Below are 10851 nucleotides of genomic sequence, written 5' to 3'. Positions count from 1 at the left end.
CTGTCGGGAAATCCTCCCAGGGTTGGGAGCAGAGGAGAGGGAGGGGGCTGTAGAAATGGCGGCCCCATCTCCCAACAACTTGGGCATTGTGAATATCACCTCCTTAAAGGGGATCTCCTTTGGTCATCCCGTCTAGAGCAGCCACCATAACTTCTGAGCGTTTATTGCTAGCTGATATATATCAGAAAAATACAAATTCCACAAAAGCAGGGACTGGTCTGCTTCTCTCCCTGCAGGGCCCAGGTTCTGGCACATAGTTGGTGCAGAAAGTGTGCAGCCTCAGGTCCTATCCAAGCCCCCAGGGCATCACACTCGGGACTTGTTCTGCATATTTTTACTTTTGCCTCCCACTGGTACTAGTTCTTCCGTGGAACAGCCTGAGTCCCTTCAGATACTTAATGTTTTTTCTCAAGTGCTGCCATGAAGCCAGATCTCCACCGTCTTGGGGCATTCCTTTTTAGGGATGGGAAGTATATGTCGCTCCTTTTATGTGATTTACATTCTATCTTGGATAATTTGGCCATCACCGTAGTTCATTCAGATCTGTTTGGATCCTGCCCATCTCAGCTTCAGTCCATTTCATTCTTTTAAATCTGATCGACAGTTACCTCCAACAGCTTCATCACAAATCACTCACAAAAATGGCCTTAATCCTGAAGTTTATTTACGGAGAGCACACTTGCTAGGTGTGTGGCAGATATACAGGAAGCACAAGATGAGGCAGCAGATCTAGAGGCAAATGACTTCCTTCTCCCTGCCTAGTGGTGACTGCCAGCATCACGCCCTCCCGGGAGAGGTGAGAAACCCCTCCACGCAAGCACTGGAACCTTCACAGTCAAGAGTGGCAACAGCTCCGGTTACTGGACTTGGGCCTGTTGAATTCTAATACTCTGTGACTCCACATCTGGGCTGAATTTTTGCTGAGTATGATGGAATTTACATGCTTCCTCCCTAGCCCCTACTTGTCTGTATAGTTGGAATATTTGGTTGCCTCCTCTGGAGGGATCTAGTACGTTTAGAGTCTAGACGCTGGAACTGTCAAAGTTCAGAGGAAAGAGCTCCAGCTGCAAAGCAAGAGAAATGGGCTGGAATTCTAGCTTCACCCCTTAATGAATGCTTCTGATTTTTTTTTTTTTTTTTTTTTTTGAGACGTAGTCTCACTCTATCGCCCAGGCTGGATTGCAGTGGCCACGATCTCAGCTCACTGCAACCTCCGCCTCCCAGACTCAAGCGATTCTCGTGCCTGAGCCTCCTGAGTAGCTGGGATTACAGGCGTGCGCTACCACGCCCGGCTAATTTTTGTATTTTTAGTAGAGACAGTTTTTGGCCATGTTGGTCAGGCTGGTCTTGAACTCATGACCTCAAGTGATCTACCTTCCTCGGCCTCCGAAAGTGCTGGGATTACAGGCCCGAGCCACCGCGCCCAGCCGCTTCTGATCATTAAAAAAAAATTTTTTTTTTGGCGGGGGGAACGAAGTGTCCCTCTGTTGCTCAGGCTGGAGTGCAGTGCAGTGATCTCGGCTCACTGCAATCTCTGCCTCCCAGGTTCAAGCGATTTTCCTGCCTCAGCCTCCTGAGTAGCTGGGAATACGGGTGCCCCCCACCACACCCAGCTAATTTTTGCATTTTTAGTAGCGATGGGGTTTCGCCATGTTGGCCAAGGCTGGTCTCGAACTTCTGGCCTCAGGTGATCTGCCTTCCTTGGCCTCCCAAAGTGCTGGGATTACAGGCGTGAGCCACCGTGCCTGGCCAAAAAATTTATGTTTTAAAAAGACTAGTCAAGTGCAGTAGTGAGAAGGGGGGAAAGAGTAGAGCAAGGAGTTATATCTGTTGCTTCTGACCATTTTGAACAAGTTACCTAATTCTCTGAGGACAAGCTCGGAGAATGGGAGAGACAGTTATCTATTTGCAGGGTTGTTGGGAGGAATAAGTGACATCATGAGTGTGTGCCAGGTGTCTGATTACAGAAGGTGTTCAATTAATCTGCAATCATTAATTAACCCTTCAGTCGCTGGTATTATTTGCCATCCATCCTCCGAGTGTTGCCAAGTTATGGGTGCGTTCTGCCAGCGTCCTAGCAGTGGTAAGGCTTCTGGCTGCCAGCGGCGAACCTCTCCCTTCGAGTATTTCTCCTCTTGCTGAGATGAAATGCGACCGGGTCTCTTTAAGGGCCAGGCGCCGGGATCCAGGCGGCGCCCAACGGCTGGACTAGCAGTCGTCCGCGCCGACTCGCACAAGAAGGAACCCCGGGCCTCTGGATCCGCTCGCCCGGCTATGCTGCTGTGGCCGCTGCGGGGCTGGGCCGCCCGGGCGCTGCGCTGCTTTGGGCCGGGAAGTCGCGGGAGCCCGGCCTCAGGCCCCGGGCCGCGGAGGGTGCAGCGCCGGGCCTGGCCTCCCGGTAACGCGCGTCTTGGTCCCGCCTCCCAGGAGCCCCTATGCGCCCACCTACTCCCGGCCCCTCGGCTTCCGGAACCCGCCCGAGCCCGAAGCGCCTCTTCCGAGGCGCGGGATTTCCTCCCCGGCTGCGGCTGGGACGGGGGCGGCCATCGGCCGTTACCCGGGCGCGAGACCGCAGCGAGCGCTGGGGGCGCTCGGCTTTGGTTCTGGGATGGAGAGAGGGCCTTTAAAGAGCAGGACGGACACGCTCTGAACATTCCGGCCCAAACTCGGTCCCCCGACCCATTTCCTGTCCCGATTCTTTCGACCTTGGGGGCGATGGGGACTGGGAGCTGCCTTAAGCCGATTCTGCTCACACTCTGGTGCCAGCGTGGGGGAGGGGGGTTACGCCCCCGGCGCTCTCCTGCCCTCCCTGGGAGTGGGGACCCACACAGAAACGGGTCACTGTTACACCCGGGTTCTGGTGTCCGCCATATGGCTGTTGAGAGACGCCTCAGAACCACCTGTGGGACGGATGGGCAGCGATGCCCGCCCTGGGCCTAGAGGAACACCTGGGTCCCAGGCCCAAAACCACGTCCGCCGCCCACTCTTCCCCGTGCACCGCGAGTGGAGGCTGTTCTGCCTTTCCACTTGCTTAACATCCAGTCTGTGAAGATCTAAATAAATAACGTGGAAAATGCAAAGTATAATGTACTAAGTGAAAGAACTCGAGCACACTGGGGGTCCACGAAGCTGCAGCTGCAGCCCAGGGTGGCACATCGGCGAGACGGTGGTGCGCGCCTCCAATCTCGGAGGGCGCCCAAAATGGAAAATGTTTTTAGGCCAGGGAGTGAGCATAAACATTAGTGTTTTTGTGGTCATGTAGCAAATTAGGGCAGAGGAGAGTTATTTAAAAGTGAGTTTAAAAACTGATTTCCTTTCTTTTGTAGATAAAGAACAGGAAAAAGAGAAAAAATCAGTGGTAAGTCCCTCTTTTATGTGTACTCTCTAGGATAATTTGGTTTTTTGAAGAGGAGAGAGAAAAAAGCAGAGTAAAAAGCAAAAATACATTCCATAGTAAAAAGCAAAAATACAAGAGGATCTCCAGGGAGAAGGAAGTCTGTCACCCTCCTAGAAGGCCACCTCTGTTACCAATTTCTTGTATCTTTCCCCAGAGTCTGCACAGATAGGAGCACACAAGTATTTGTATCCTTCAGGTAGATTTGGGCTGTTAAAGCTTAAGGGATGATTGTGAAAGGATTTGAAAAACGCTCATTGTGTTGTGGGGAAGGTCAGTTTCATCTTGGGTTGGGCAGCTCAGATGTGAGGGAAGCTCTGTCCACCACCACCCTCTCCCCCCAGTGTTGAGACTGGTGGGTGGGCAGGGGATCAGAGAGAAACCATTAGGGTCCACAGATGTGGGTTCAGTTATCAGGGTGGCTTTGAGATGCTGGCTCTGGGCTGGGGCTGTGACTAGTGTGAGGCTGAAGGTCAAAGAAGGGTCAGGTTGGTGTCCATGGGGATATTGGGTGCTTTAGCTGGCTGGGGTAGGGAGTGATATTTTGGTCACAAACCAAGGCTCAATTCCTTAAAAGAACTGAAAGTCCCTAGCTCCAGTGGCTGGGAAGGGGGTGGCTTGGCAAGTGGTGGCAGGAGTACCGTGGCTGGGATCTGCAGAGGGTAGACAGTGCGGGCAGGCCCCCAGCGTACTCAGGGTGGTGGAGAGCTCTTGGGAAGTAGTGAAACCACATAGAGAGGATTGAAATGCTTGAGATTTGTGGAAGTTTGTTGAAATTAGGAGAAGGATATGCCAGCGGGTGCCATAGAAGGGGAGGGAAATGCAAAGTTGAGCTGGATGGTAATTAATGTATTTTTGTTTGTTTATACATTTAAGAGACGGCGTCTTGCTGTGTTGCCCAGGCTGGCCTCCAACTCCTGGGCTCAAGTGATCCTCTGGCATCAGCCTCCTGAGTAGCTGTGATGACAAGTGTGAGCCACTGTGCCTGGCTATTTATTAGTTATTGAGCTAGCATTGATGTGAGCTGGGCCTGTTCTTTGTGCTTTTTGGGTGTGGTTTGATGTGCCCCCAGACACACAATAGCTAGTTCATAGAAAGTGGTATGGAGCCTGCATTCAGGCTCAGGACTGTTTGTAAACATTCAAGTCCTGTGAGCTCCTGTGTGGGATGCACTGGGCTAGGACCTGGGCACCTGGCAAACAGCCCTGACATTTGGGAGTCTGCGGTCTGTCTGATGGGGGAGGTTTGTCTGATGGGGGAGGTCTGTCTGATGGGGGAGACAGCAGTAACTAGGAGAATGGTGGAACTAGAACAGCAGTGAGTATGGTGGCTGTGAGTAGGGGGGCTGATGACTGAGAGGAGCTTTGGGAAGCCTTATTGCCTGCTGGGAGATGGAGCAGAGTTTGAGGCAGGAGTGTTGGAACAGGTACAAGTCACAGAAGAATGAGAACCTGCAGGCCTGGGCTTGTGGCCAGTCCCTAGAGAGGTGGCTGGGGAGGGCTGGGGGATAGGTGCAGAGGGACTGAGAATAGGTCCTAAAACCCAGAGTCACTGAAGGGCCTCACCCCCACCCAGCACGATCCGGGTTGCCTCTCAGGGAGCGATGTGGGGAACCATGAGTGGAGGGCCTAACTGGGTGAGACTGGAAGGGGAGAGACCTTAACTAAACTAGAGATGGCACAGAGCCCGCAGCTGAGTGGGAAAGCAGGGCCCAGGGGAGTTGCTGGTTGGTTGACTGGTGTTGGTGGGTGAGGAGAGATGTCCAGAGTGTTAAAGGTGTCTGGGTGGATGGTGCAGCCATTACATGGCACAGTTTACAATATTAGATAATTGAGTATCACAACAAAGTTTTTTAATAAAATAACTGGACAGAACTTAACATCCAACAGGGCCATACCTAATGGCTCATGCCTATAATCCCAGCACTTCGGGAGGCAAAGGTGGGAGGATTGCTTGAGCTCAGGAGTCTGAGACCAGCCTGGGCAACATGGCAAAATGCTGTTTCTACAAAAAATACAAAAAATTAGCTGGGCATGGTGGCATGCACCAGTAGTCCTAGCTACTCGGGAGGCTGAGGTGGGAGGGTTGCTTGAGCCTGGGAGGTCAAGGCTGCAGTGAGCTGTTATTGCATTGCTGCACTCCATCGTGGGCAACAGAACGAGACCCTGTCTCAAAAAAAAAAAAAAAATCAAATAGTAGGGAGTTCAATAAATTGTGACAGGTCTTATATAATGGATTATGTAAAGCCATTAAAAACCATGTTTTTGAAAAATATTTAGTGACCTGGGAAGGCACTCACTATGTAAAAGATGAAAAAAAAAAATAACAAAACCAACAAAAGTATATGAAGTATGATCCCAAATGAAAAAAAAAACTGTCCTTAGGAAACAAACAGGAAAGAAATATTATAAACATTAATGCCGAAATTCTCAGTCTAGTTAAGAGATAGATGTGGGGTTAACAAGGAGCATGTAAGAGAGAGTTTGTGGTGTGATGGGGTAAAAGTGTCTTCCCTTAGTTATTTGAATGTTAAATGAAATTCAGCTGGGTTCCTTTTTAAAACAGCTTTATTGTAATTTGCATACCACAAAATTCACCCATTTAAATGTGCAATTCAATGATTTTTAGTAAATTTACAGAGTAAACAGCACTACAGAGTAAACACCACTACAATCTAATTTTATTTTATTTTATTTTTATTTTTTATTTTTTGAGACAAGGTCTGGCTCTGTTGTCCAGGCTGGAGGACAGTGGCACAATCACAACTTACTGCAGCCTTGACTTCCTGGTCTCAGGTGATCCTCCCACATCAGCCTCCCAAGTAGCTGGGACTACAGGCACATACCACCATTCCTGGCTAATTTTTGTATTTGTTGTAGAGATGGGATTTCTACATGTTGCCCAGGCTGTGCAATCTAATTTTATAACATTTCCATTACTCCAAAAAGAAACCTTGTGCCCATTTGCAATCTCTTCTGGCCCCAGGTGACCACTAATCTACTTCCTGTCTCTTTAGGGATTTGTGTTTTCTGGACGTTCCATATAAAATGGAACATATAGCGTGGGATCTTTTGTATCTGGCTTCTTTCACTTAGCACATTTTTTTTTTTTCTTTTTTGAGATGGAGTTTCTCTCTGTTGCCCAGGCTGGAGTGCAATGGCATGATCTTGGCTCACTGCAACCTCCGCCGCCAGGGTTCAAGCCATTTTCCTGCCTCAGCCTCCCAAGTAGCTGGGATTACAGTCATGTGCCACCACGTGCAGCTAATTTTTGTATTTTTAGTAGAGTCGGGGTTTCACCACGTTAGCCAGGCTGGTCTCGAACTCCTAACCTCAGGTGATCCGCCTGTCTAGGCCTCCCAAAGTGCTGGGATTACAGGCGTGAGCCACCGCTCCTGGTTGCTTAGCATAATATTTTGACATGCATCTGCCTTGTAGCACGTATTAGTATGTCATTTTTTCCTATAGCTGAATAGTATTCATGGCGTGGCTGTAGTGCACTTTGTTTATCCACTTGCCAGTTGTTAGACGTTTGGGCAAGTTTCTTTTGACTGCAGATTTCTCAGGGTCTTTGATAAGACAGGATATTTGGATTCTCCCTGTGGAGGCTTTGGCACCCAAGCCAGTTTGCCTCTGGAACCCTGGGTTCTAATTAAACATCCAAATGACAATGATTGCTGAGATTTACGAGTGATTTTTATTTTCTTCTTTTAGGGATTGTGTAATAAGGTTTGATCAGAGAAATCCAACTGATAAATACATATATGCATATTCATAAACATATACATATATTCATGCATACATACATTCTTGTGTGTGAGAATGTATTTCTTTTTTTTTTTTTTTTTGAAGACAGGGTCTCACTCTGTCACCCAGACTGGAGTGCAGTGGTGTGATCTCGGCTCACCACAACCTCCACCTCTCAGCTCCCAAGCTCAAGCGATTCTCTTGCATCAGCCTCCCCAGTAGCTGGGATTACAGGCATCCGCCACCACGCCTGGCTAATTTTTGTATTTTTAGTAGAGACGGGGTTTCACCATGTTGGCCAGGCTGGTCTTGATCTCCTGACCTCAAATGATCCCCTGCCTCGGCCTCCCAAAATGCTGGGATTACAGGCGTGAGCCACTGCGCCTGGCCACTGAGAATGTATTTCTTAGCACAAGAATGCTTAATTTCCATTTTTAGGAAAGATTAAATATTGTTACTTATAATAGGGATAGATGGCTCATCACAGTTTCAGTTATAATCATGGAAAATTGGACTCAAGGGCTCATAGCAGAGGAAAATGGAGATAAATTGTAGCGTAATCACAGAGTGTTGGGCCAGGCCGGCCATGTGCTCCCACAGCATGGGGACCATCTCCTTTTCACAGTTTCCTGTTGCTTTCCTCCACACACTCATGAGCTCTTTGGCCGTTGCAACGAGGCCCTGAGTACACAGTGCCTGGCACAGCATAGGCCTTCAATAAACAGTTGAAACGTGCTCAAAGATGAGGACTGTATAGAAAATAATATTTGGCATGAAATATGCTCATATGTCATGGGGTTTATCTCTTAGTATTGGGATTATGGGTGATAGTTTCTCCTTTTTGATTTTCTGTATTTTCTTCAATGGGCATGCACTTCTCTTATAATATTTTTAGACATCACTTTAAAAAGAAATGTAAAGACTCCCTTTGCTTGCTTCCTGTTCCCCCTTCCATTTCAGGGGAACTTTGTGAGATTCTTCCTGCGTTGCCTGCTGTAAACCGGAGGGCAGATTGGCTGAGCTCATTCAGGGCCTGACATTCACCAGCTCTTCAGGATTTCATGCTGGGGATAGGAACAAGTTTCTGGGAGAAGGGCTTATCTGAACAACCTGTTAAAATGCTTCAATGAACAGGAAAGAAAAAAGACTGTAGAGTGATGTCTAGGTTGAGCTCTTTTTATATATCTAGGAAGAGGAAAAGTTTTCTTTAAAGAGCAATAAAAAAATTAAATCCATTAGTGCCCTAATGGGGTCTTTTCATGCCCTTTTGTTCATTCCCTTGGGTTCATTTTGTAGTTTGGGGCTCTAAAGGAGTGGGCTGGGAGGGACCCAGGATGGGAGAGTGGCCTTGTGTCTCCTGGATACCCGTTAGGATCAAGGCAGGAGGAACCTTCTCCGCCAGCTGACAGAGTTCTAGTTGCTGGGGAGACTTTAGTGGGGTCGGGTGAGACGGCCCACTGTGACCTGGTGTTTATGTGAGGTGTGACTGAGGCTCCATCAGGAGTCGTGAGAAGGGGCCTGGATGTGAATTCTAATTCTGATTCTTCCCTAGCCAAGTCTGGCACTTGGGTAAGTTACCTGTGTTGCCCAGGTTTCTCTGGGTGCTTCCAGCCTGAGTGCAAAGGAACAGGCCTCTGTGCAGCAGGTCGGGCCCCTCTCTGTGTGTGCCCCTGGAGGATGTCTAATGTGTTCTCAGGGGACAGTTTGTCTTATGTATTGGAGCTGCCCGTTCCCTGTGGCCATCTGCTGGAGCCAGAGCCACTGGGCCTATGTCATCAGCAGTGCCTGGCTGAGCAGAGCTTGGTCAGAATCACTGGGCTACAGGTTCAAGGGCTCCAGCCTAGAGTCTGATTTAGGGTCTGGATGCTACCTGGTGCCACCTCATGTTTAACCAGCTCCTCTGGTGCATCTGAAGCAGGCATCTGTGGACTAGACAGGGAGAAGCTCTGCTCCAGCCTCGTGGTTCCCATCCTTGCCTGCACATTGAAATCGCCTGGAGAGCTTTAAAAGTTACTGAGGCTTGGCCGGGTGCAGTGGCTCACGCCTGTAATCCCAGCACTTTGGGAGGCTGAGGCGGGTGGATCACCTGAGGTCGGGAGTTTGAGACCAGCCTGGCCTACATGGTGAAACCATGTCTCTACTAAAAATACAAAAAATTAGCCGGGTGTGGTGGTGGGCACCTGTAATCCCAGCTACTCGGGAGGCTGAGGCAGGAGAATGGCTTGAACCCAGGAGGTGGAGGTTGCAGTGAGCTGAGATCACGCCACTGTGCTCCAGCCTGGGCAACAAGAGTGAAACTCTGTCTCAAAGAAAAAAAAAGTTACTGAGTCTTGAGTCTCACTCCCAGAGATTGTGGTGTAATTGGTCTGGGCTGTGGCATCCCTGTAGAGATTTTTAAAAGGTCCCAGGTGGTCCTAGCGTATAGCCAGAGCTGAGAACCGCTGCCTGGAATACCTTCTCTCCCTAAGATGAGTTACTTCTAGGATGCTCCTTGGTCTTTGGTATAGGTAGACCCAGAAGGCTGTTTCTGGCCCCTCCCACTAGTGCCATGACCCCCTTTCCCTCCCACGTGCAGTCATTGTGAGCAGAGTCTAGGTTCAAGCTGTCCTTGCTTTATTGTCTTCTACAAGCCTCATTTTTGTTTTCTGTGAAAAATGTTAGGACTTACCCTTCTCAGGTTTCAGTGAGGTTACATGTGATAATGGTGTGTTACCTGTCTCAGGGCTTGGCCTGTGACAAGGTGCTTAACAAAGTCCTTGCTCTTTTTTTCTTCTCCCCTTTCCTAATGGTTTCCAGTCAGTGACCAAGTGCTTTTTTTTTCTGTAAAGCAGTGAATTCGATTCTAGATAACATATATGTGTTTCCTAGCCTCAAAGCCATTGATTAAGCTCTCGTTAAGGAGGCAGGACACTTAGGCCTAAAATCTAATAGTCTGTGGGGTTGAACTAAGGAAGGGCAGAGCTGGGCTGGGCAGACAAGCTGTGTATGGTTTAGGAGTTGACGTAAAGGAGGATCTGGTCTGGGGGGACCACATGAGCCTGCCACTCAGGGAGGATCGGCTTATCTGTTATTACTAACAATGGGACCTTGCCAGTTTCCCGAGGAGGGATTTTGGTTTACATGTGAAAGTCTTGGACTGAACCAATTATGCTGGTTACATGAGCCCTTTCCGTAGCCATTATTCCCTGACATTCCCCTGGGTGCTTGAGTTCTGGCTCTAATATGCATTCGTCTTTTGCCAGATCTGTGTCGAGGGCAATATTGCAAGTGGGAAGACGACATGCCTGGAATTCTTCTCCAACGCGACAGACGTCGAGGTACAGCCTCTATGCTAGGTTTGAAGGAAGCGGAGAAAGCTTGATGGGATAATTTATAGAGGGTGTGGACTAACCTTGTCCAATAGGACTATAATTTGAGCCACAAGTGCAAGCCACAGGTGTAATTTAACATTTCTAATATCCTCATTAAAAAAACAAAAGGGGCCGGTGCAGTGGCTCAAGCCTGTAATCCTAGCACTTTGGGAGGCGGAAGCAGGTGGATTGCTTGAGCCCAGGAGTTCCAGACCAGCCTGGGCCACATGGCGAGACCCCATCTCTACAAAAATATGCCAGGCATGGTGGTACGTGCCTGTAGCTCCAGCTACTTGGGAGGCTGAGGTGGGAGGATTGCTTAAGCCCAGGAGGTGGAGGTTGCAGTGAGCTGAGATCACGC

General features: G+C 49.0%; 1 protein-coding gene across 8 annotated transcripts in view, besides 2 other annotated features; it reads left to right on the top strand.

The window, feature by feature from the left end:
• Nucleotides 64-123: an enhancer, noted in NCBI's record as "active region_10941". NCBI's record gives its function as "activates an Ori minimal core promoter by ATAC-STARR-seq in GM12878 lymphoblastoid cells {active_cell/tissue: GM12878}" and the evidence as "EXISTENCE:reporter gene assay evidence [ECO:0000049][PMID:35858748]".
• TK2 (thymidine kinase 2) overlaps nt 2045-10851 on the top strand; it is a 42289-nt gene continuing 33482 nt past the window's right edge. For 2 of the 8 annotated variants that reach the window (NM_001271935.1, NM_001172643.1), the window contains exons 1-3: nt 2045-2083; nt 3327-3358; nt 10383-10457. In NM_001271935.1, coding sequence (NP_001258864.1) covers nt 2053-2083; nt 3327-3358; nt 10383-10457 — 138 coding nt within the window. In that variant the 5' untranslated portion in view covers nt 2045-2052. Of the gene's footprint in view, nt 2084-2213; nt 3359-4270; nt 4366-10382; nt 10458-10851 lie in introns of those variants that run through there. The other 6 variants (NM_001172645.2, NM_004614.5, NM_001271934.2 and 3 more) reach the window with 5 other exon arrangements.
• Nucleotides 2301-2480: a silencer, noted in NCBI's record as "silent region_7560". NCBI's record gives its function as "represses an Ori minimal core promoter by ATAC-STARR-seq in GM12878 lymphoblastoid cells {active_cell/tissue: GM12878}" and the evidence as "EXISTENCE:reporter gene assay evidence [ECO:0000049][PMID:35858748]".

This window comes from Homo sapiens, chromosome 16 (assembly GCF_000001405.40).
Source record: "Homo sapiens chromosome 16, GRCh38.p14 Primary Assembly".
Taxonomy (NCBI): domain Eukaryota; kingdom Metazoa; phylum Chordata; class Mammalia; order Primates; family Hominidae; genus Homo; species Homo sapiens.
Note: the sequence above shows the minus strand (reverse complement) of the source record. Positions and strands in the feature narration are given on the sequence as shown.